Source organism: Homo sapiens, chromosome 8 (assembly GCF_000001405.40).
Source record: "Homo sapiens chromosome 8, GRCh38.p14 Primary Assembly".
NCBI lineage: Eukaryota > Metazoa > Chordata > Mammalia > Primates > Hominidae > Homo > Homo sapiens.
The window spans coordinates 110,925,577-110,953,253 of record NC_000008.11 but is presented as its reverse complement, the minus strand read 5'-3'; the positions used below and the strand labels follow the sequence as shown (position 1 = coordinate 110,953,253).

The 27,677-nt window shown below is 36.6% G+C and overlaps 1 long non-coding RNA gene and 2 pseudogenes across 1 annotated transcript in view; 2 read left to right on the top strand and 1 right to left on the bottom strand.

The window, feature by feature from the left end:
- LINC01608 (long intergenic non-protein coding RNA 1608) overlaps nucleotides 1-15,564 on the top strand; it is an 89,744-nt gene extending 74,180 nt beyond the window's left edge. The window contains exon 6 of the long non-coding RNA NR_125417.1: nucleotides 15,527-15,564. This is a non-coding gene — a long non-coding RNA (long intergenic non-protein coding RNA 1608). The remainder of the gene's footprint in view (nucleotides 1-15,526) is intronic.
- MTND2P35 (MT-ND2 pseudogene 35) lies at nucleotides 17,616-18,299 on the bottom strand (annotated as a pseudogene).
- Nucleotides 18,721-19,991, top strand: MTCO1P47 (MT-CO1 pseudogene 47; annotated as a pseudogene).

Here is a 27,677-nt window from a genome sequence, read left to right as displayed (position 1 = left end):
TAACCCGACCTTTCTCTCTGGCTGCCCTGAACATTTTTTCCTTCATTTCAACTTTGGTGAATCTGACAATTATGTGTCTTGGAGTTGCTCTTCTCGAGGAGTATCTTTGTGGCGTTCTCTGGATTTCCTGAATCTGAACGTTGGCCTGCCTTGCTAGATTGGGGAAGTTCTCCTGGATAATATCCTGCAGAGTGTTTTCCAATTTGGTTCCATTCTCCGCATCACTTTCAGGTACACCAATCAGACGTAGATTTGGTCTTTTCACATAGTCCCATATTTCTTGGAGGCTTTGCTTATTTCTTTTTATTCTTTTTTCTCTAAACTTCCCTTCTAGCTTCATTACATTCATTTCATCTTCCATTGCTGATACCCTTTCTTCCAGTTGATCGCATCGGCTCCTGAGGCTTCTGCATTCTTCACGTAGTTCTCGAGCCTTGGTTTTCAGCTCCATCAGCTCCTTTAAGCACTTCTCTGTATTGGTTATTCTAGTTATACATTCTTCTAGATTTTTTTCAAAGTTTTCAACTTCTTTGCCTTTGGTTTGAATGTCCTCCCGTAGCTCAGAGTAATTTGATCGTCTGAAGCCTTCTTCTCTCAGCTCGTCAAAATCATTCTCCATCCAGCTTTGTTCCGTTGCTGGTGAGGAACTGCGTTCCTTTGGAGGAGGAGAGGCGCTCTGCGTTTTAGAGTTTCCAGTTTTTCTGTTCTGTTTTTTCCCCATCTTTGTGGTTTTATCTACTTTTGGTCTTTGATGATGGTGATGTATAGATGGGTTTTCGGTGTGGATGACCTTTCTGTTTGTTAGTTTTCCTTCTAACAGACAGGACCCTCAGCTGCAGGTCTGTTGGAATACCCTGCCGTGTGAGGTGTCAGTGTGCCCCTGCTGGGGGGTGCCTCCCAGTTAGGCTGCTCGGGGGTTAGGGGTCAGGGACCCACTTGAGGAGGCAGTCTGCCCGTTCTCAGATCTCCAGCTGCGTGCTGGGAGAACCACTGCTCTCTTCAAGGCTGTCAGACAGGGACATTTAAGTCTGCAGAGGTTACTGCTGTCTTTTTGTTTGTCTGTGCCCTGCCCCCAGAGGTGGAGCCTACCCTTAAAATTAGAATTTTAAACATCAAGCAATTTCAAGGTAAATTCTGTTATAAACAAAATGGTTCTTACTAACATTTTGCCTCCAGCATATCATGTTGAATTGCCAAACCTTAGCTGTGGTTCTTATTATACTTTTTTTCAAAGTATTTGAAACATTGAAACAACACAACTTATTCAACAAGTATTTGTTGGTCGTCTATTCAGTGTCAGGCAGTGTTCTATGTACTACGTACATAACAAGGAATAAAAGCAGACAAATTTCCTGCCCAGTGGATTGTACATTCTTGCTGAAAAGACAAACAGCAAACATAAACATACACACACATTGTACACAGAATGATAGCTAGAGAAACTTAGGGATTGTATTGTGTAGGGTACATATGGTATAAGCTGTATGATACTGACTCCATATCATTTGGATATAGATTGAACATTGATTAAAAGATTCACAGTGCATAATAGCTGCTCACTTCCAGTTTATATAAACTCAAAATTACAAAGTTGGTAAAGAAACCCACAACCAAACAGCAGCAGTCACATTGAAAGATAAGAGTACAGGTCAGGTGGTGCTTCCAACCCCAATTGGATGCTCCATCCACCTGTAATGGACCTACTTTGTTTGCAACATATATTTTAAAAAAAGCTAGAATGACAATATTGGCAGGGAAAAACAGAGAAAACAGAGACAGTTATGTAAATATTTGATGGGCCAATATCTAAATTTTAGAGCAGTTTTGGCACCAATAATTATTGCGTGAGTGCTTTCTAAATTTTACTGCAAAAAAGAAGACGAAAAATAAAAGAAGAGGAAAAAGGAGGATCTAAATATTTCTACACCATACACTGATGATCACAACTTTTCATGGTAACACATAATAACAAGCTTGTCTCAATTCTATATCATTGTTGAAATGAAATGCATATTAGCTCATATTCAGTTTTACTAGTAATACAACTACCTCTTGAAATAGAGAAAATACCAAATATCATTAACAAAAAGTATATATGTAGGGAGTTTCCCTGAATCTGCTCTGATTCTGGGGGCTGCCCAATTCGTGAAACATTCATTGCTCAAACTCCTTAAAACTTAATTCACCTGAAGTTTTTCTTTAAACAGATGGTGTCAGAAGCAGGGTCTGAAGTAGAGCTTTTAACGACCTCCAGGAGCACTGAGAGAACAAGCAAGGTATCTGCAAGGACCCATTTGTGTCCCTTGATCTCTCAGAGTGACTGGGAATTCTGGGTAAATTCTCTCTCCCATTTCAGAGCTCCACAGATTTGTGTTTTGAGCTCTCTGAGTTTCTTTGAGCAAATTTCTGATCCAAACTGGGCTTGAAAAGAATTTTTAAAAGAATACTATGGTTAAAAGTCAGCTTAATTGGGGCTGGGCGCTGTGGCTCACGCCTGTAATCCCAGCACTTTGGGAGGCCAAGGCAGGTGGATCACAAGGTCAGAAGCTCAAGACCAGCCTGGCCAAGATGGTGAAACCCTGTCTCTACTGAAAATACAAAAATTAGCCAGGCACGGTGGCAGGCACCTGTAATCCCAGCTACTCAGGAGGCAGAGGCAGGAGAATCTCTTGAACCCAGGGGATGGAGGTTGCAGTGAGCCTAGATCATGCCACTGCACTCTAGCTGGGTGACAGAGTGCGACTACTCCTCCTCAAAAAAAGAAAGCTTAATTAAAAACAGATAGTCAAGTTCTAACAGCATGGGACTCCTTGGGAAAAACAGAGGAGGCAGCACAGAACTCATTTTGGGAAAAATCTCTGTTTTCCTCCTGAAATCCCAGAAATGGGAGGTGGGTAGAACACTCTGAAGATGTTAAGACTAGATATACTTTTAGCAATGTTAATGGCAGTTATGGGGTGATAGGAGGCTCTTGGCACATTTGAATAAGAGAAATATGGTCTTGGCCAACTGGAAGGTATGACAACGTCAACATCCCCACCCCCCGACTAAGAAATAAGGCTCCCATGAAGGATGGGCTAATTGCAAAATGGGCTAATTGATTTAGGGTTGCCATGCAATAAAATGCATAGTAAAAACATTGCACTGTCTTCTGCCATAGCATTTTCCTCCTTTTCGGGATCTAAGATCTGGTATAAAAATGGGACCCTTAATTTTGGGGAACTTTTTTTGTCTTCCACCTGTGCCTGCTTATTAGGCCCTAGAAACTGCATGTTTTTCTAGCCCTGTTTCTTGAAGGGCTCCACCTTGAGACCAGTAATCCAATTCAGAAACTGGTAAATGAAACATGCTACCACTGCTGGATCTTCTGTCTGTCTGAGTAGTTATATATGTGTTGTGTGTGTGATGTTTATATAAAAAAGAACTCTAATTGGCTTAAGGAGAAAATAAGCACTTAAATCAAATATTTTAAAAGAAAAATAAAAACTATAACCTATTTTAGTTTATGTAACTTTAGCAATCTTTGGGAAATATAAACAGCTTTAAGATTATTGGTAAAATAAAGACATTTGGTCTAAATTAGGCAGGTCAGATATTAGTCTTGCTAAATGCTTTAAGGTCATAGACTGCTTCTTTGGCTTTTGAAAATTGTTCAACTTGCCTGTTTTGCAGCTTTGTAAGGCCTGGGGACATGTGAAGTTAGCCATGCCCCTAGCTATGCTGGAAAGAGTCAGACCTTAACTCCACCTGGTATGTAATTAAAATAACTTACCAGATTTTTCACCAACATTAAAAATTGCTAAGAGTTACTATTATCACACATAATGAAGATTGCTGAAATAAAAAGCTGTATTACATGCAAGGTGTGTAAGAAAAGTAAAATGTGTTAGTAAATGATTATAAGAAGGCATGTGAATGTAAATTTTGCCTAGTCTAGAGGGATTGTTTAAAACTGAATAAGGTTGATAGGATTGTTTTAAATTGAATAATATAAAGCTAAAGGTTTAAACAAGTTGTGGAAAGTTTGTAAAAACATTAATCTTGTAAAAAGAAGTTCTATGTGGACACTGGCAAAAGTTAAAAGGATATTTTTAAGTTTTTCTATAAATTGAGCATTGGAATAAAGTCACAAGAGGTTTTTTTAGAGCACTAATATGCTCTTTCACAAAAATGGTAAAGGGTTGTAAAATGTTTATGAAAATCTCACCTTATGATCAAACTGATTAAAATTGGATAGATTTGTCTCTAATGTTTTAATAAAAATTGTTATTGACAGTAATAGTACACTAATGCAAGGATGAAATTTGTCTTTCTCTGTTGAACAAGATTTTCATGTAATATTAAAAGATAATGAAAGATTTTGTTTGCCTTTTGAATAAACTACTGATAAAAGAAGGAAATGCCAAAAGACAGATTGTTTGGAAATCTAAGTGTTCCCTCTGTTAATCAGTAAAAGGTTTTGCCTTTTTAAAACTTTTGATTCATTATTTCAGCTAAATGAATGACTTACGGTAACCTGGAATTCTATTTCATATCAAGTGTTTAAACCTTTAACATGTTTGATAGTCTTCCCAAAATCAAATTTCAGCTTTAAAACTGTCTTTTCTGACCTCTAATTTTGCAATGCCATAGAGGGCTCCAAAGCCTCTAACAGAGAGGTAAACAGGATTATTTGACATGTTTAGTTACATGGGAATCATTGTAAAAAAAAAAAAAAAAAAGAAAAAAGATTAATATTTAACCCTCTTCAGGTTATATTTTTGTGTATGTCATCAATATGTTCCAAAATTGTATTGAGTTTCTAAAATTCTAATATGCCTGAGTATATGCTATCAATCATAATTATGGTTATTATGTTAAGTTATTGTAGACCACAGAAATAACCAAATCTCCTTGTCAATTGTGTTTTTAAGTATAACTGTTTAAAGTCATTTCCACAGTTAATTGCTTCATGCTGATGCATGAAGCTTCACAAGTACACAAAATCCTAGAATATGGTGTCTTTGAGGAGGTTCATGAAAGGATGGAAAGGACCCTGAAAAGCACTCTTGAATACAGGTTTCTAATAACATTAAAATCACATCATGGGTAAGAATTCCCCATGAATTCCCCAATTCCCCAAGAATTGAACTGGATAAGAATTCCTGGAACTTTAATGAAAAAAACTGACTGAGTTATAAAACTGCTAAGCCAAGTAGAAAAAAAAATTGAATATAAAGGAAATACTTTGCCAGATTTGCATGCTAAATCAGCCAGTACTGAAATTGTTTATATATACGATTTGAATGAACTCCATGGTCTAAGTCAAATTACGCATGCAAACCCATCAGTTATCAATGCTATGCACTTAATTTGGAGAAAAAAACTGGTATTTAAGAGGATATAAGCCTAATGTTAATTAAGCATGGACACTTGGAAAACTAGAATGACCATCTTGTCCTTCCTGAGTCCTTAAAGCTTTTGTTATTAAAAGTTCTGCATTCCATGACTCATCATGGAAAAGATAAAATGATCTAAATTAAATATATCAGTGTGGTATCTTATTGATTACTAAAATAGTTTATAATCCATGTTTGGTTTGTCAAACCCATATTCCTAGGAAAACAATCAAAGCTTCAGGTACATTTGGCTACTTGATGGGGCCATTTAAACATTTATAAAGGAATTTCATTCAATTATCATTTTCATTGCTTGTTTTCTGGTTGTATAAAAGCTTTCCCATGCAAGAGGGCTAATGTTATAACAGTAGATTATTATGCTACAGTGTATTTTCACCACATCAAGAAAGCTCTTTATGGTTCTCTGACTGGGAAAATCAACCCTTTCATAATTTAGAACCTGAAGATTGGATCTTCTGAGAACATCAGAGAAAGACTGTCCTTGCCATCCATACTACAGCAAAACTTTGGGACCTTGAACTTTGGGTTCACAATCTCACAACCAAGAAGGATCCCTCTACAATTTTGGAACAGTACACCCATTGGAAACCTTAAGGTAAAGCTAACCAGGAAAGTTTCTCCCCAGAAGAAGATGGCATCCTTGATGTGAACAGCTTTTCCCAAGAACATGAATTCTCTACTGTTATGAGACTCTTATCTTAGAATATTTTCCTTGTTTATGACTCTATGAACAATAGAATGAAATGAAAAGGGGGTTTGTTTTGTGCACTTATGGGGTATAATTTTATGTGTGAATGATTTTGCACCCAGCCTTATACATGGATAAACTTATACTTTAATAGATAAAAAATAAAGGTCCAGTGTAAGTGAGAAACTTTAATGGTACATATGTTGCCTCATAATCAGTCAAAAACAGAACATTGATTCACTCCTTTTAACCCACATCATAGGTTAAAGAAAACATTGCCAGGAGGCCTTCAGTCTTCTAGAAGGGCCTCATTTGTTAGGTCCTTTTTCCATGGTTTGGAATAAAAGGGGCAATGGTTAGAAATGTATCCCTCATGATATGCTCTATAGAAGATTCTACTGTAAAGGCTATGGTTACACAACAGACTTTAAATTCTCTTGTGAAAGTTATGTTAAATAATAGAACTGGCTGAACAGAAAAGTATCTGTGGAGCTGCTGGCACTTATGGCCTATGGAGAAAACATTAGGTATTATAGAGATTCAGTTGCAGGGGATTAACAAAGAGACTGCTTATTGAAGTGACTAGACTCTTTAGCCCATTCTTTGATATATTTGATTTTAGGTTGCTCGGTTTATGGGGACCCCGGGTAAGGAGCATACTCCAAACTCTTGGTATTATCTACCTGATAGTCATAAAAATAGTCTTCCTGGTGCACTATATTCTCTCAAAGGTTTTAAATGTTTGCATACAGCTATCTCTAGAATTTCAAATGTTCTCTCTTCCACTGGAATAGCAAGAGCTGAAATAAATGTATGACCATGAAGACACTGTAACCTGTGAATGACATGTTGAGGTCAGAAACCCAAAGTGATTGTAACTGGGAATTGCGTTAAGGCCCTAAGTTTTGTTCACACTCTCACCTAAGTGAGAACCTGACCAAAAAGGGGGAATTTTTTTTAAAAACAAAATTATAGGAGGCCCTTGTTTTGGACTGAGCTCATTCCCTACGCACCAACAGACAAAATTAAACCAAAATGAAGTCACTCGTGCTAAATGTGACTAATCAAACTAAGACTTTAAGGAAACACATAGATCCTAGAATATATCCAGGTTAGTTTTTCTCCTATAAACAGGATGTTCCAGCATAAGGAGATACTTTCTACTCAGTCCTTGTTCCTATCTTTGCAAAACTCACTATATACAAAAATTAACTCAAAATGTCTTAAAAGATTAAATGTAAGACCTCATAATGTAAAAGTCCTGGAAGAAAACCTAGCAAATGCTCTTCTAGACATTTGCCTAGTCAAAGAATTTATGACTAAGTCCTCAAAAGCAAATGCAACAGAAACAAAATTGACAAATAGGACCTAATTAAACTGGAGCACTTATGTACAGCAAAAGAAACTCTCAAAAGAGTAAACAGATAACCTAAAGAATGGGAGAAAATATTTGCAAACCAAGCATCTGACGAAGGGCTAATATCCAGAATCTTTAAGGAACTTAAGCGAATCAACCATTAAAAAAAATTTAAAAAAAACATTTAAAAGTGTGCAAAGCATATCAACAGACACTTCTCAAAAGATCTATAAGCAGCTAACAAACATCACTAATCTTTAGAGAGATGCAAATCAAAACCACAATGAAATACCATCTCATACAAGTCAGATTGGCTATAAAACTTAAAGAAGAACAGATGTTGACAAAGTTGCAGAGAAAAGGGAACACCTATGCATTGTTGCAGGGAATGTAAATGTGTTTGGCCACCGTGGAAAGCCGTTTGAAGATTTCTCAAAGAAGTAAAAATCGAATTACCATTTCAGCCTGCAATCTCATTACTGGGAATTTATTACCCAAAAGAAAATAAATCATTCTCCCAAAGAGACACTTGCATTCATATGTTTAGCACAGCACTATTCACAATAGCAAAAGACATGGAATCAACCCAGATGTCCATCAACCGTGGATTGGAGAAAGAAAATGTATATATACACCATGGAATACTACACAGCCATACAAAATAACAAAATCATTTCCTTTTCAGCAACATGGATGCAGCTGGAGACCATTATCCTAAGTGAATTAATGCAGAAACAGAAAACCAAATGCCACATGTTCTCACTTATAGATGGGAGCTAAACATTGAATACACATGGACATAAATATGGGAATAATAAACACTGGGGATCACAAAATGAGGGAGGGACACAGGGAGGCAAGGGTTAGAAAACTACCTATTGGGTATCATGTTCACTACTTGGGTGACAGGATCATTAGAAGGCCAAACCTTAGCATCATGCAATATACCCATGCAACAATCCTGCACATGTACTCCCTGGATCTAAAATGAAATAAAGAAAAATAAACCACAAAAAATACATTTTAAAAACAACATAATTCATATTTATTATATTTCTGATTACATAAACACTTGAGTGCCCCTCTTATAAAATATTTACCATGTAAGGAACTACATTTTAGCCTACCTCAGAAATAATGTTTTATGCACAAGTATTTTATCATTATTTTTAAAATTCATGCTTGAGATTTTCACACTCCTTGATATTTCAAAGAGTTTTTATAAAGGACAATTTTTCATGACCAATTTAGTATTTAAGGCAACTGGCAATCTTGTGCTGTTGATCATTGTTTTCTCATATTCACATTTTTATTCCACACCATTAATCTCCTGCCCCCTACCAACTCCTACACTAAAGCTAGCACATCACTGTAGTACCTGTTTCTTTCATATTAAAAGTAAGTACATTTAAAAAGCAAGTACATATGGTACTTACTCGTGAAGTTAGTAATAAGTACCCAAATCTAGTTCATTTCTTATGGCATAATTAAGGGTAGAGATATACTATCACCAGATGTACATTCCTCACGTCGTAACACTATCTAAACATTTCCTAAAATTAAGAAACAAGCAAATATTTGATAGATTGACATTTGTAATCTCACTTGTCAACTGTTATTCACCTTGTACCTAGCAAGTTGTAATCAGATATGCTTCTTGTGTCACTTTGGAAATTGCCACATCTGTCCCCTTGAGACTGGACTTTCTAAAGAAATATAAAATTCATTTCCCTTTATATCTTTGTTCTTGATAAATGTGAAAAACTATGTTCATGCCTTTTGATTTATTTTATGGGCAACTTTTTATAGCATTCAGAAGAAGAGTATATGCCATATTTGCTTGTTCTCATAGTGTGTCTTAATTTTTCAAAATTATTTCCATAACTTCAATTATACAATATTATTCTTAGAGTACATTACTGCATTAAGTCATATTAAATATTACAAGTCCCTGAGACAGGGTTTACACCTGGCAATTTTCTTAAAAATTTAAATATTATTTATGCAGAGTTTTATATTACCTTTCCACATATTCAATAGCTTCTTCATGTCAAAGATAAGTCTCTGGCTTTTATGTCCAAATTTTTATATAACAATGTTCACTAGTTCGGTGTGGCCATTTTTATAACTTCCCTGGTTCTAGATGAATAATTTTACTTTTTCTACCAATGCCAATTTTTTATATATATGGATACACAATTGTTGTACATATTTATGGGGTACATGTAATATTTTGATACAGGCATACAATGTGTAATAATCAAATCTGGGGAATTGGGATATGTATCACTTCAAACATTTACTCTTTATTTGTGTTGGGAACATTCCAAATGTACTTTTCTGGCTATTTTGAAATACATAGTAAATTATTGTTAGCTGTAGTTGCCCTATTGTGCTACTGAACACTAGATCTTAATTCTTCTAATTGCATATTTGTACCCATTAAAACCAATCTCTTTATCCCTTTCTCCTCACCCACTACCCTTCTGAGCCTCTAGTAAACATTATTTTACTCTCCACCTCCACTCCATTAGATCAATTCTTTTAGTTTTCACATATGAGTGAGAATATAAGACATTTGTGCTTCTGTGTTCGGTTTATTTCACTTAACATAATGTCCCCCAGGTCCATCCCTATTGTTGCCAAAGATTAGATTTCATTTTCTTGTGGCTGATTAATATTTCAATGTGTATGTCATATTTTCTTTCATCCATTGATGGGCACTTAGGTTGATTCCTTATCTTGGCAATTATAAATAGTGCTGCAATAAACATGGAGTACAAATTATCTGGAGTGTAGATATCTCTTTGATATACTGATTTCCTCTCTTTATGATATATACCCATGAACGGGGTCACTAGGTCAAATAGTAGTTCTGTTTTTAGTTTTTTGAAGAATCTCCATACTGTTTTTTTATAGTGGTTATGCAAGTCATATTCCTACCAGCAGTGTACAGGCATCCTCCCTTTTCAGCACATTCCCAGCATTTGTTACTTTCTAATATTTATGAATTAAACATACTACTTGGATACTCTTAATGGACTTAACAAAATAAGTTATTCCTGCTATTATCTCGCCTTATTGAGGATCACACCTCTGGCTTCAAAACTGCTGTCAAGAAAGGTAACACAAAAGCTGTGGTTTGATGATGAAGTGACATTAAAATCTATCATATCTGACTTCCATAATTCATAAGTTTAGTGACTTGGCTTATTGCTATAGTATCTATATACAAACAGGGCCCAGGATCTTCTCTGCAGCAACAACTGTTACAGGTTATAAAGGGATTGTATCTACTTGTAGCCATTTGATCATGATAACCTAAATCACTTTCTCTTACCTTCTCTACCACCCATACATTTTCCCAGATTATCTACAATCATCTATCTGCCTGGCTGATTGGGTGTCAGGCTGACACCGCATGTTTCCTCTGCTAATTATTCCTCATTTCTCTGTATTAGCACCTCTTTGGCTTTCCACTGTATCTTTTCTATTTGTTTGTTTGTTTGTTTGTTTGTTTGTTTGTTTTGAGACAGGATCTTGCTCTGTCACCCAGGCTGGAGTGCAGTGGCATTGATCATGGCTCACTGCAGCCTCAATATCCACATGCTCAAGCTGTCCTCCCATCTCAGCCTCCCAAGCAGCTGGGACTATAGGCACGCACCACCATGCCTGGTTAACTTTTTTGTATTTTGTAGAGATAAGGGGTTTTGCAATATTGCCCAGGCTGGTCTCGAACTCCTGAATTCAAGCAATCCACCTACCTCAGCCCCCTAAAGTGCTGGGATCACAGGCATGAGCACCACACCTGGCCTCCATTCATCTTCATCCCAGGACCATGCCAAGCTCATATTGACAGTGATCAGGATGTAAAAAAAAGATCATGAATAATGTTCATATTCAGTCTATGTCAGTACTTTTGTTTCTGGCTACCTTTACTAATTTTATCCAACAACTTTTGTGAGCCAGTATTTAACATACTTTTAAAGTAAGCCACCAGGATTCTACTCAAATTGACCTCTAACAATAATAATCTAGACTATCTACAGGTTAGTAATAATACTACTGGCTCTCCTTTAGTATTTAGTCTGGAGATTTGCAAAGCCTAGAAAAGCAGAAAAGCTATTCAGCTGACTCCTAGGGAGAAGTCTAGTATTTTCTGGGTGGAGTTTCAAGAACACTTGATGTGGTGGAGGTGTCATTTGTTGAGACATAAGCATGGTCACTGACTAGGTACTGGATACATTTGAATTGTCCCTGTAGTGCTGTGCATGGAGCTATGATATGCATGCCTCAGCTGTGATACAATCCTTGCTGGTGTTGACACATGTCCCAGTTGTCAGCGACAAGCATTACAGCAGGGATTCTGATATTTATCTTGATCTATAACACGAGTCTACTCAGCACCAGTACAGAAATTGTTCCCTCATGGAGTGACCAATCAACGGCTAGCTTTTCAAGAGCCCACCTCTAAGAGACAGAACTGGATCTGTTAGAGGCTCTTTGCTTTTTTATTTTGAGTTCCCAGGATTGTCAAGGGGTTAGCTGGCAGATGCTAATTTAGGACCATCTCATTATTCTTAATAGTATTACATTTTGATGTTTTTAAAGTTATGCCATTATATATTTGAAGTACAAATTATAATAAAATTACACAATTCAAATGTTCTGTTTAATGAGTTTTGACAATTGAAGACCCTCATAATCACAACTACAATGATGTATAAAACATTTCTGTCATTCTAGAAAATTTCCTTGTGCTCCTTTTCTAGTCAATTTCCAGTCAGCAAGAGGTGATTAGTTTCTAAATTTTATCACTATGCAGCCAGCATCATCAGTGCACTTTTTAAAATATATCAGGCAATAAATATTGCAAGTTTTGTGGGCTCCATATTTCTGTCTCATATATTCTTCGTTTTTTAATAATCCTTTAACAATATTTTTTAAATGCTCTATTCAGTGCTATACATATTCAAAATTAGGGAGCAGAATTGATTTGGCCTTGTGCTATAGTTTTCTGATTTCTACTGCAGGTTAGTTTTGAATGTCTTTAAACTTCATTTAAATGGAATAACACAGTATGAACTCTTTTGTTTCCTCATTTCTTAGCTCAATCTATTGTATTTCTGGTTCATCTACATTGTTGCACACATTAAGAGATTATTTCTTTTTATTTCTTGGAAGTATACCATTAAATTTTTATACTACAATTTTTAAATCCATTTCTCCAGTTGATAGACACTTACGTTGTTCTCTTTGGAATTACCTGTGGAATGGCCAGGACATGGGATATGTGTATGTTTACGAAAATTTGGCATTCCATTCTCCGAAATGATTGTATTATTTTGCACTCTAGTAGCAATGCACATTTTTTTTCCTAGGCTAACACCTTCAGGTAATGGACTCATTTCAACACCTTCAAATCTGGTGTCCTGTTAATAATTAACCAAATCACCAATTGTATCTTGAATAGAATAAAGTAGCAGCAGAAGGTTCTGGAAGCATCATCACGATGCAAGGACTCACTCTAACATGTCCTTATGATATTATTTATATACTCTCAGATTTTCTTCAGCAACATTAATACTAATTTAGCAAAGACCTCTTGGCACCAGACACCCTTGTTATGTATGTAAGCATATGAGCTGTCACTGAAGCACAATATCTGAGAAGCTGTACATAGGGCAGAAAAAGAGGCAAAAAAATGGAATATGTTCTTGAAGATTATTTTCAGAGCTTACAGCATGTGGCATATGTTGCAGCATGTACTTTAGCAGAGATTCACCAGAAGGACTGGTCTAATATCCAGGGAAGAGGCTACCACTGACCTCCTGTTCCACAGCTCAATCTTGTCTGCTTGGGTCTTGGTATCCTACATACCGTATCTTCCTCCTCTAAGAAAAACTCCTTCTCAATATTTACTTACATTTTCTTTGCCATTGCATTCCATATAGCACTACCATATCTCCCATTGCAAAAGTCCACTCTCACAACCCCCTAGAGCCCTGGTACTCAAAGTGTGGTTCATGAAGCATTAGCATTGTTTTTTAGTGTCTGGATCTGCCCCAGACCAACTGAACCATTATTTCAGTTTTAGTTAGATACCCAGTATGATTCACATGCACATTAAAGTTTAAAAAGCATATATGGAAAATACTCACAAATTCAGGTAAATGATCCGGCAGCTCAATATTTCTAACGTGGCAGGCCTCTAATGAGGACTTGTGTATTCTTAGGCCGTTTATATGTATATGTGGAAGAAGTTTCTGTTCACTTTTCTCTATCCTTCCCACTTAAACAAAGTCATCCTGAAATTAAATAAGCAAGCCAGTCCTTCTCTAGGTCTATACCAGGTTAAATCTGAACTAGATTCAAAGATTGTTAAAAATAATCTCTTAGCTATTACTTAACCTTTTTTTTTTCATTTCAGTTTACTCTTATATCAGTAGAGTAAAAGAAAATGTTATGGGTTCACAAGAAGAGGATGCAAGTAAATAGGTAAACCTAAAGCCCCCAAGTCTCCATAATTTCCTATACATGTAATGCAGCTGGCATGGAGCAAGGAACCCTAGGTAAAAGGGGCTAGAACATGGTTTTATTGTCTTTATTCTGTTAGGATAGAAAAGTTACCTTTCAGAAAGACATCTCTAAAGGCTTCAGGTCATGCTATCACTTACACCAAATGCACTATTTCAGTCCATTTAAAACATCTCCATTATTATCTCTTATAAATTATATAATTGACAATGAAATTTTGCAGCAGGCTATGTCCCCAAATTCCATAAATCCCACATCTGTTTATCATAAGCAGTTGTATACAGACATCTTATGGTGCATCTTGCTATCAGCATTCAGTTGGTAAGAACTCTGTATTTCTGTAGTAATTGTTATCTAGATTAGTATGTTCACAAATGGGGATAGATCTTCCCTGTTTTTCTTCTCCCTCTCTCCCCCACATCCTTGGGATAGAAAAAAACTGGTTGCTCATTAGCTATTAACACTTTCTTTCTTAATCTGCTACTCCTCTGCATCCTCAGGCGTACGATAGGCCTGGCCATAGCCTGCCATCTACTAAACCCTAATACTAATCATACCTGTTAACATTTTATAGGTAGGGAAAGCTATGTTATTTTCTCTCTTTTTCAGAACTGCAGTAAAACTTGTTTTGTCCTACTCTTTTTTTCAATTATGCTTTGTTCAATATCCCTTGCATCCAAATAATATATTATCAAAAAGATTATCTGAGGATCTAAGGGTTGCTTATACCCATGGAATACCAAAGCTAATAAATACAGAAGTAGGTGCTTTTCTATTTAATTGCCCTATTACAATCAACTGTACTAAGCTTTCTCAGACATCTGAATGTTATAGTGCCTGACAATGAGTCCTTAAACACTTGTTTTATAGTGGATTCTAACACCCACTGGGACTTTTCAGCTCAGCCAATAATTGCATCACCACCCGTTGTTGCCCTTTTAAATCATGTCACCATGGAACTGAGTTTAAGAATACTAAGCATCACAAATTGAGAACATTCTCAGAAAGTGCTAATCACTTGTTTTTATTACTTTAGAATATATACCATCTATATATCAATAAAAAATAATGAAGATTTTCTTAGATGTAATTTTTAAAGGAAAATTTGAGAGAAGGAAAAAAAGAGAGAAAATGAATTTATTTCCATAGATTTAGATTTTTTAGAAAATACAGTTGATCTTAGCATTAACCATGAAAGTAACTCTCTGTATCAGTCCTGGAGCTCTTTGAATTTAGGAGTCAACATATGTCAACTGAATGTGCTGCTCTGACCCATTTCCTGTGTAACATGTAAAGCTGCTAAAAATGAGTAGGGCTTAGAGCAAAAGAGACCTCTGCAGCATGTTCATAGGGCTGTGCCAGTCCCCCTGCCACATAGGCCTTATGACACATCAGACTTAGTTTGTCTGAATGTGTCCAAGGTAAGGATGCTGTGTAGAGACTTAGAAAAGAATCACAGCATAAAACTCTTGGGTTTTGAGGCAAGTATTTAGGTTCTTCTCTATGGTTAATATTTTCTTTTTGTTTCTTTTACTTTTATTTTAGGTTCAGGGGGCCCATGTACAGGTTTGTTACATGGGTGTATCTCATGTTGCTGAGGTTTGGTGTATAAATGATCCCATCACCCAGGTAGGAAGCAAGGTACCCAGTAGGTAGTTTTTCAACGCATACTCCTTCCCACTTTCCCCTATCTAGTAGTAGTCCCCAGTGTCTATTGTTGCCATCTTTATGACCACATGTACCCAATATTTAGCTCCTGCCTATAAGTGAGAACATGAGACATTTGATTTTCTACTCCTGTGTTAATTTTCTTAGGATAATGCCCTCCAGTTGTGTCCATGTTGCTTAAAAGGAAATGCTTTCATTCTTTTTTTATGGCTGCATGGTATTCTTTTGGGAACCAGCTCATTGCTTGGTACAGAACCCTGATAAAGACTAATTGTTTAATAATGGGGCACCAATTACTCTATAATCTCTGTTGCAATGAGGATCCATCAAATCATAGTGCTAATCACATGCAGCAGGAACCCATTATGAAATGAAAGATATATGTACATGTGTAAGTGTATATGAAATTAGGCTTGAATAGATTGCCACAAATGAGTAAGTTGTGTGAGCGGGGGGCTCAGATTCTCAGGACACATCCACTTGCTGCATCACCATTCCACTGTCCACACATGCATGTGGCCTAATAAGGAGTTTCCTAACCCCAGATTAAAAGAGGGAAAAAATGAGCTTGTTTTACACAGTATGCTGTCACTGTTGGAACTGGACTGCTGGCATAGTTCAACTACTGTCTAGAGTGGCACTGATGGACAGAAAAGTGAAATCCTCCAAGTGGGAAGAACTTTGGAAAATACATTTGAATGACCATTTTGCCTCACAGGAAGGAAACAGTGATGGAATAATGCCTCTTCTGAAAGGTGGTCCCATTCTAATCTTAGGAACCTGCAAATATGTTACCTTATAGTGCATAAGGGCCTTTTCAGATGTGATTGAATTAAAGATCTGGAGACAGAAGAATTATTCTGGATTTTCTGGGAGAGGACAACATAATCACAACATAAGCACATTTTTTTTCTCTCTCTGATGTCCTGCCTCCTTCTTATAAGGATAATCACATAATTGGATCATGATAAGAAGGAGGCAAGAGGTCAGAGAAAGAAGAAATGTGCTACAAAGTTGGATATGAAGATGGAGGGATGGGTCACGAACAGTCTCTAGAAGCTGAAAATGTCAGAGGAAAGAATTCTCCCCTAGAGCCTCCAGAAGGAAAATAGCCCTATAAACACTTTGACTTTAGCCCTGTAAGGCACATTGCAGACTTCTGACCTCCAGAACCGTACTATAGTAAAATAAACCTAGGTTGCTTTAAGCCACTCAGCTTAGTTATTTGTTACAGCAGCAATAGGAAACTAATACAGATAAATATATTCCAAATCCTTGACAATCGCTAATTGTTTGTTTAGTTGGTCAGGTATTAAAAAAAAATTTAAAAACCTGTTTTCTGCTGTAATGTCATCACTATTATTTCAGGCCTGATTCTATCGTTTAAATTTTCTCATTTTGGACTATGTTTTCCTTCTTATTTGAATGCTTGGGATTTTTAAAAATTGTAATCTTGGCATTGGCATTTTTAACTTGCCGGGTGCTGGATGATTTTTATATACCTATACATGTTCTCGAACTTTGTTCTGAGGTGCAGTTACTTGACAGCAGTTTGATCCTTTTGAGCCATGCTTTTAAGGATTTTATGTAGAACCAGTACAGTTTCTAACTTACAGCTAATGTTGACATACTACTGAGGGAATATCCTTCTGAGAACTATTCATTTGTCCCTGGGATTATGAGGTGATTTACTCTGGATAGTGAAATAGAAACCATTCCAGAACCAAGGATGGCACTAGGTGTTGTTCCCTCTATTTTTGGGGGGAAATATTGTCTCTGCTTCAAGTAGTTTCATCACATGCGTTAGCAGATCAATATTTAAGTGAAGAATTGAGGGGTACCCTCTGCATATCTTCTTAGCTCTCTCAGTACAACTCTCTCTTCCCTGGTATTACGCCCTGCAAAATCAATCTGCCTTAGTCTCATAAACACTCAGATTGGTCTCTTTAACCCACAGAGATAGTCAGGCTCCCCCCTGATTACCCTCCTTTCCTGTGGCCTGGAACTCTTTCCAGGCAATGAGCTGGAACAAACATTTGCCTTAAATAATTTGCTTACCCTATCTCATGGATTATTACCCAGGACTGCTCAATGTCTGGTGTCAGAAAACTGATATTTCACAGTTTATCCATTTTTAGATATTTTAGTGGGTGGGAAGGTTTAGTTACTTATTATTCCATCTCAATAAACAACAGAAATAATTCACTTGTGAGTTTGAATAATTATATTGCAGTATTTTTTACTTTATTCTAACAATTACCGCATTTCTTACACTCAATCTGAGCACAAGCACTACAACCCTATCAATATTCCACACCTGAAATAAACTAACATGACTAACACCTATAATTCCATTAATTTTATTATCCCTAGGAGGTTTACCCCCATTAATGGGATTTCTCCCTAAATGAGTTACCATCCAAGAACTTACAAAAAACAACAGTCTTATTACCCCAACCATTATAGATATTATAACCCTACTCAACCTATACTTTTACACACGCTTAATTTACTCTACCTCAGTGACAATATTCCCCACATCTAATAACATAAAAATAAAATGACGGTTCAAAAACACAAAGTCCATATTACCCCTCCCCCCACTTATAATCTCTACCCTCCTCTTACCTATTTCTCCATTAACACTATCTATGATCTAGAAATTTAGGTTAAATAAGACCAATGGCCTTCAAAGCCTTTAGCAAGTAAATTATACTTAATTTCTGCAACAAACCTAAGGACTGCAAGACTCCACTCTGCATCAATTGAACGCAAATCAACTACTTTAATTAAGCTAAGCCCTCTCTAGATTGGTGGAATTAAACCCACGAAAATTTAGTTAACAGCTAAACACCCTAATCAAGTGGCTTCAATCTACTTCTCCCGCCGCTGGGAAAAAAGGCGGGAGAAGCCCTGGCAGGAGTGAAGCTGCTCCTTTGAACTTAGTCTGAATTTTCATGTTGAATTCAACATGAAAATCACCTCGGGACTGGTAAAAAGAGGCCTTAACCTCCATCTTCAGATTTGCAGTCTAATGTTTACTCAGCCATTTTACCTTTTTCACTCCACTTATGTTCATCAACCGTTGATTGTTTTCAAGCAACCACAAAGACATGGGAACATTATAGTTACTATTCTGTGCATGAGCAGGGATAGCAGGCACAGCCTTAAGCCTCCTTATTCAAGCAGAACTGGGCCAACCAGGTACTCTGCTAGAAGATGATCAAATTTACAAAGTTATTGTTACCTCCCACGCATTTATCATAATTTTCTTTATAGTTATACCAATCATAATCGGAGGTTTTGGCAACTGATTAGTTCCTCTCATAATTGGCTCTCCTGATATGGCATTTCCCCGAATAAATAACGTGAGTTTCTGACTTCTCCCTCCCCCCCTTTCCTACTGTTATTTGCATTCTCAATGGTAGAGGCTGGCAGTGGGACCCGCTGGACAGTTTATCCTCCCTTAACAGGAATCTTAACATGCAGGATCCTCTGTGGACCTGACCATCTTCTCACTTAATTTAGCAGGCATCTTTTCTATTCTAGAAGCTATTAATTTTACTACCACAATCATTAACATGAATCCCCTGGCCATATCCCTACATCACACACCCCTCTTCGTCTGATCAGCCCCAGTTACAGCAGTTCTTCTACTTCTTTCTCTTCCAGACCTAGCCGCCGGCATTACTATGCTATTAACTGACTGTAATCTCAACACTACATTGTCTGACCCAGCTGTCAGAGGTGACCCTGTCCTGCATTAACACTTATCTGATTTTTTGGCCACTCTGAAGTCTATGTCCTTATCTTACAAGGCTTCTGGATAATCTCCCACATCGTAACACACTATTCTGGAAAAAAGGAACCATTTGTGTGCATGGGCATAGTATGAGCCATAGTATCAGTTGGTTTCTTAGGATTATCATATGGGCTCACCACATACTTACAGTAGGAATAGATGTAGATATAGGAGCATACTTCACCTCTGCCACTATAATTATTGCCCTCCCCGCTGGCATCAAAGTCTTTAGTTGGTTAGCTTCACTACATGGCAGCAACATCAAATGATCCCCCACAATTCTTTGAGCCCTGGGATTTATATCCCCTTTTACATTAGGAGGTCTGACCGGCATTGTACTAGCTAACTCATCACTAGACATTGTCTTGCATGACACATATTATGTTGTAGCTCATTTCCATTACATCTTATCAGTAGGAGCCGTATTTGCTATTATAGGAGGCTTTGTCCACTGATTTCCCCTATTCTCAGGTTATATACTTAGTCAGACCTATGCTAAAATTCACTTTTCCATCATGTTTATAGGTGTTAATTTGACTTTTTTCCCACAGCATTTCCTGAACAGGGAAAAGTTGAAAGCATTCCCACTGAGAAATGGAACAAGACAAGGAGGCCCACTCTTACCACTTCTGTTCGACATAATACTAGAAGTCCTAGACAGAGCTATCAGAAAAGAGAAAGAAATAAATGGCATTCAAATCGGTAAAGAGGAAGTCAAACTGTTGCTATTTGCTGGTGATATGATCATATATCAGAAAACTCTAAAGACTCCTCTAAAAAGTTCCTCAACTGGTAAAGGAATTCAGGAGAGTTTCAGGATACAAAATTAATGTACACAAATCCATTGCTCTGCTATACACCAATAGCAACCAAGCTGAGAATCAAATCAAGAACTCAACCCCTTTCACAATAGCTGCAAAAAGTAAAATAAAATACTTAGGAATACATCTAACTAAGGACATGAAGGGCCTGTACAAGGAAAATTAAAAAACACCACTAAAAGAAATAATAAATGATACAAACAAATGGAAACACATCCTATGCTCATGGATGGATCAAATCAATATTGTGAAAATGGTCATAGTGCCACAAACAATCTACAAATTTAATGAAATTCCCATCAAAATACCACCATCATTTTTCACACTTCTTGATTCATGGAAGGAGGTCAAAACAAGAGCTTGGAAGTAGTTGATTTCAACCCTCATGGATGACTTTGAGGGTTTCAAAACTTCAGTCACGGAAGTAACTGAAGCTTTGGTGGAAATAGCGAGAGAAGTAGAATTAGAAGTGGAGCCTGAAGATGTGAATGAATTAGTGCAATCTCATGACAAAACTTGAATGGATGAGGAATTGTTTCTTATGGATGAGGAAAGAAACTGGTTTCTTGAGATGGAATCAACTCCCGATGAAGACACGGCAAACGTTGTTGAAATGGCAAGAAAAGACTTGGAATATTACATAAACTTAGTTGAAAAAGCATTAGCAGGGTTTGAGAGAATTGGCTCAAATTTTGAAAGAATTTCTACTATAAATAAAATGCTATCAAACAGCATCACATGTTACAGATAAATCTTTCATTGAAGGAAAAGAAAATAAATGCCACAAATTTCATCTTTGTCTTATATTTGAAATTATCACAGTCATCCCAACCTTCAGCAATCACCAACCTGATCAACAGCCATCAACATTGAAGCAAGACTTTTCATCAGCAAAAATATTATTACTCACTAAAGGCTCAGATAATCATTAGCATGTTTTATCAATAAAGTATTTTTTAATTAAGGTATTTCTATTGGCTTTTTTGGCCCTGCCAAGTCTTATGTTGAAACTTGATCTCCAGTGTAGGAGGTGTTTGGATTGTGGAGGAACATCCCTCATGAATGACTTGGTGTCATTCTTGCAGAGTGAGTTTTCTTGTTCCCATGAGAACTGGTTGTTCCAAAAGACTGTTACCTCCTCCTCTTTCTTTTTTGCTTCCTCTCTTGCCATGTGATCTCTGCAGACAAGCTCCCCTTCCACCATGAGTAAAAGCAGCTTGAGACCCTCACCAGATACAGATGAAAAAGCCATGCTTCTTCTACAGCCTGCAGAACTGTGAACCAAATAAATATTTTTTGTTATGAATTACCCTACCTCAGGTATATCTTTGTAACAACACTAGTGGAATAAGATAGATATGTACTTTTTTAGGCATAGTGCTACTGCGCACTTCATAGACTACAGTATAGTATAAACATAACTTTTAAATGCACTGGGAAACCACACAATTTATGTCACTTGCTTTACAGCAGTATTTACTTTGTTGCTGTGGTCTGAAATTGAACCTGCAATATCTAGAGGTGTGCCTGTACCTATAGGTAAGTGCACTGGGAAACCACACAATTTATATGACTTTCTTTATGGCAATATTTGCTTTATTGTAGGGGTCTGGAACTGAACTATCAATATCTCAGAGGTGTGCCTGTATCTGAACCTGAACCTGGAGCTGTTCTACACACAGACACACAGAGACACACACACACACACACACACACACACACACAGGCACAAACCCATTTTATTACATGTAAAAATCTGATAAAGGACTATGCAAAAAGGAACAATTATATTTAAAATACTGCAATGATAGAATATGCCATCTGACCCCAGTGATGTTCTTTCCTTTCTACCAAGCTATCAACTTATAGAATTAGAAAACAAATAATCTAAGATGCAATGTTTAGATGCTGCCATAAAATTCTATTTTAATTTGATAACTGAAATTCTCAGATATAGAGAAGCATTTAATTATCTTTGTAATATATTACTTATAATTTTGCATTATTAAATAACATAATTTGGGGTTAGTATTTAGTTTTAACATATAAGGGTCAAATCAAATATAGGAGTGAGTTGTTTTGAAGCTGGATTTTCATATTTCAGTTTTTATGTTTATTATGAGTTTTAGAAAAGTATCATACTGGTGTTAATTTAAAATCAAAGGCATATAATAAGCTTTTTAATAACTGTTTTTGAATATGACTTTCTGCCCACTCATGAATTTTGAGAATATTTGACTAAGTCACATATCATTTTTAAAATGAACTAAAAATGGAAAACTTTATTAAAAGAATATGTTAGTTAACACATACATAGTTATTAGTGCAAGTACCTAGGTGTATCCTGTACCACATAGAGTTAATTTTGACTCTTAGCTGTGACAAGCAAAGATTTGTTGAATGGTACAATTAAAAAAGAAGAGCATAAAATTGCAGACACTCAGTTCTTCAATGAGGAAACTTGATATTATCTATACTCAGTGTATAGGTTGGTGTTGTCCTAAATTGTGTGATGATGCTGCTAACTACTTTTATAGTTAAGAGCTTTATTGCCCTTGGGCTATTTTTCACTTTTCCAATTTGGTTTGCAACATTTCTGACTTTACCTATTTCAATCCAAATCTAATAGAAAACTTGAAAGGTTTTGTTGACTTTTATTTTGTATCTGGGTATTGAGTCCAACCAGAGTCTCAAGCAAAATGTAAGAATTGCACATCTATCCAAACTGAAACAATAACATAACAATTCACAAGCACTGAACGACTGAAACAGAAAAATGATAAATTTTGCCCATCCTTGGACAAGCTAAAAACTGGCAAGTAAACATAAGAAAAAAGGAATCCCTCTAGGCTTTCTATAACAGAATTTAAAATCATATAATAATTGGTCATCATAAGTCTAACACTTTTACTCTGTAGCAAAACGTATTTTAGAACTGTCAACAAATGGGATGCAAGCATAATTATTCTCCCTTTCTGTACTATTTAGCTATAATTGATCTCATGCCCTTAAACCTTGTAGATTTAACTATGTTATTTCAGTGGTCTTAAATAAAATCAAATAAAACTTACTAACGTTGTTGAGAATGTAAAAGTTAAGACTTCTGGAATTTTAGGTAATATTTCATACTATAAAATTAAATGCTGTCACTTTATTTAGATATTAATGGTTATATAAATATATATTAATTGTATAAATATGCTTAGGAAAAATATGTGTAGTATTACTCTATTCTTAGAGTAAATATAAAGTATGACTTTAACCTTCAGTTGTGAACATAAAGAGTCCTTTATATTTTATTCAAAATAAGTGAGAATGCATTTCCAAAGCTTTAGGGTCTCAGCAATTCAATGGACAGTAGTGAGATTATTTTTTGGATTTGACCTCTAATAATGACAAATAGCTTTGTGGTCCTTTCCCATGTATTGTGTAAAAATGAACTAGGTCCATTTTTAAATAATAGAGTTACACACAGCTCTGTATCTCTCTCTGTCCTAATAGCTTAAATGCAACAGAATTATTTTGGGTCCATGAAACTTTTTTATTTTTTGAGACAGAGTCTCACTCTGTTCCCCAGGCTGGAGTGCAGTGGCCCCATCTTAGCTCACTGCCACCTCCACCTCCCGGGTTCAAGCAATTGATTCTCCAGCCTCAGCCTCCCAAGTAGCTGGGACTACAGGCACACACCACCACACCTGTCTAATTTTTTGTGTATCTTTAGTAGAGACGGGGTTTCACCATGTTGGCCAGGCTGGTCTCAAACTCCTGACTTCAGGTAATCCGCCCACCTAGGCCTCCCAAAATGCTGGGATTACAGGCATAAGCCACCGTGTTCAGCCTTGAAACTCTTTTTGAATTGTGAGTATAGAAAGGTAAAATGATAATACTGAACCTATTGGGTCTGACCTGCAGACCCTGGCTAAACTACGGATGAACAAATGCACTTGGACAGCGATATCCAGTGAAAGAGTGGGCTAGGGGATCGGGCCACCCACAGACACCAAGGAAGGTGCTGTACAGAGTCAACAGCCACAGCACTGACAAGCTGGCATTGTGGGCATCTATTCAGTATAAATTTAATGACAAAGGCCTTGAGTCAACACACTTGTGGGCAATTCACATAGTCACACCCTCACCCCCCACCATCTCCCAGAGAGAGGGTAGTCCTGCACGCGAATGATTAAAGGCCAGGTTTCCAGGCTTAAGTAAACTAACTTATCTAGATCAATTCCCTTACACTTCCTTGTTATCTACTCTGAGAGAATTCAGCTGCCTTCAGCCAAACCCTTTTCTGAAGCTTTCGTAAAACCTTCCGGCCTTCCAAGAAGCTTTGCATCTTTCTCCAAATTTTCCTACCACCCTGACCGATCTCCTACATCAACTCATGATGACCAAATGGTAAATAGCATTAAATGAATGATAGAGGGCTTTTACTGGATATTTTGATCAATCTATTTTCATCAAATGGATGTTTCTTCAGCAAATAAGTACCTGAACATCCTGAAGAAATTGGACACTGAAAATGATTAGCATCAGGCCAACCTTTGATTCATCCTGTAAAGCAATGTGTCTCAAATATTAATGTGCCCACTTATCTATAAAACTTGTTAAGATGTATATTCTAACTCAATAGGCCTGGGATAAATTCTGACATTCTACATTTCTAATGATTTTCCAAATGATGTCAAGGCTGGTGGGCCTTACATCATATTTTCAGAAGCCAGTTTCTAAAAGATTTCCTCTCCATAAATTGATTTTAGATTTTTTCTAGTTCCAGTAAGATTAACTATAAATATATTCAGAGTTTATGTGAAATTCAGAGACTAAAATCATGGAGAAATATTTAAAAGAAGAAAAATGTCTAGACCTCATTTTGAACACAATGGAGAAAGAGTTGATTCTGTCTATAAGCCCTGAGAATGTATATACTTCAAAGAAGATTTAAGAGACAGTCTCATGTTAAAACAATCTATGTGAGATCATCCTGATTCTCAACAAGTTCATTTGTAGAAATTCTACTTCTTCTACTAATATATATATATTACTATATATATTATATATATTCAGAATAAATAGTATTTATTTTATCTACCATTAAGGAAAAAAGTTTTAAAGTGTCTAAAATACGGATAATTACAATTGCTTTAGTTTTCTCCTTTATTTTGAATTTGAATTTCAAGTTCTAAATTGATTTACTCAAACGCTTGAACTAAAGGCTTAGCAAAAGGAAAGCTGTGTCATTTCCAGGCATAAAAACTATTTATGTGAGGGGGCTTCAAGAAGACTGACTACAAGCATCCAACACTTGCCATCTCTGCAAGGAAGGACCATGTTAGTGAGTACAGAATCACAAGTTGACTAAAGTATCTAAGAGAGAACATCGAAATTTAGCAGTTAAGTGGCAGAGAAGCTGTGGAGCATGAAAGAAGAGGAAAATGAAACAGACAACTTGGCCAAGATCAACTTGGAGCCAGGAGACTCTTCTCTGTGCAGGAGAAAAGGTGAGTGAGAGATTCCCAGTGGTCCACATTCTCACTATGATCCTCTGTATTTCTAGCCATGGGAGAGGCCCTCAGCGCTTGCAAGCACTGAGACTGGTATAGGGAGTTGCCTGGAATCCACCTGATGGCATTGTTCCGAAGAGAGAGAGGTCCTGCTGGGCCCCACACAACTCCCAAGAGCCAAGCACCTGAAGCATGCTGCCATTTTAGAGCCCAGACTCCACCAGACTGCACCGTGCCCTGGGGCCTAACAGCCCCTGCATCTCCACATCCCAAGATCCCTGCTGACATCTCACCACATCCACTCCAAGAGCTGCAGCATCACAATGCCAGCTCAACTGAGCACTGCAGCTGCGTTACATACTAAGCAGAGATCCATGAAAAATCTTTCTACCAAATTCATTGATACAATTGCAATTCATGCCATGTTTGAGTTACCTATATATACAAATGCATTTCCTTCCTTCTTGTTTTCTTTCTTCCTTCCTTTCTCTATTCATTCCTTCCTTCCCTTTCTTCCTTCTGTTTCTTTTTCTTCCTTCTTTCCCTCCTCTCTCTCTATATTATTTCCTTCCTTCCTTCCCATTCTCTCTCTACTTCCTTCCCTTTCTTTACTTTCTTCCTTCCTTTCTTTTCCTTCCTTCTTTCTTTTTTCTCTTTCTTTCATTCTACCTTCCTTTCTCTCCACCCTTCTTTCTCTCTCTTCCTTTCTTTCTTACTACCTTCTCTCTTTTTTCTTTATTTTCTGTCTTCTTTTCTTCCTTCCTTTCTCTCTCTTTCTTTCTTGCTTGCTTTCTTTCTCTCTCAATTCCTTTCTTTTTTATGTTCCTTCATTTGTTTCCCTTTTCCTTCCTTCTTTCCTTTCTCTTTCTTTCTCTCTTTTTTGTCTCTTTTCTCTTTCCTTTCTTCCTTCCTTTCTTTCTTCTCTTTCCTTCTATCTTTCTTTTCGTTTCTTTTCTTTTTATTTTTATTTTTTTCTTCTTTCTTTCTTTTCTTCTCTTTCCCTTCCTTCCTTTCTCTCTCTCTCTTTTCTCTCTTACTTTTTTCCTTCCTTCCTTCCTCCCTTCCTCCCTTCCTCCCTCCCTCCCTTCCTCCCTCACTCCCTCCTTTTCTCTATCTCTTTCTTTCTTTGCTTTATTGTTCTTTTTCTTTTCTAATACTTCAATTATCTTGTTAATTCAGTGTGCTACCTGAAAGGTAATTTCATTGTCTGTGTTCTGTCTTCCTCTTTCCCTCCCTCTCTTCCATCATGCTCTTTGATTCCCTTAATACATTTATTGCTGCATATCTTTAGAAAACTGAAGTAGCCAAAAAAAAAAAAAGACAGCTTATAGAAATTTTATGCAGCACTTCTATGACCTGCCAAGTAGGGATCAGCATTGAATATGGTCAATATAAAGATAATCTCTCATTATGAAGGCTCTGTAATAAACAAATTAAGAAAAAATGGAATATGTTCCTTTCATTTCCCATTGCATGATATTATTTTGTTTTTCTCGAGTATGATTTGTTGGCTTGTTTATTTTTATTTATTTCTTTTTACATTCTCAAGTCTCTTGATGTTGAATTAGTATGAACTTTCAGATTGTTTTTACTTCCAGATTTCTGCTCTTTTGTTTTATATCTTTATTTAAAATAGTCTTAGGTATTTTATTTGAAGCTTGTTTTTAAATCTAATGTTTTCATTTTTTTTTATCATACTTTAAGTTTTAGGGTGCATGTGCACAACATGCAGGTTAGTTACATATGTATACATGTGCCATGTTGGTGTGCTGCACCCATTAACTCGTCATTTAACATTAGGTATATCTCCTAATGCTATCCCTCACCCCTCCCCCCACCCCACAACAGTCCCCGGAGTGTGATGTTCCCCTTCCTGTGTCCATGTGTTCTCATTGTTCAAT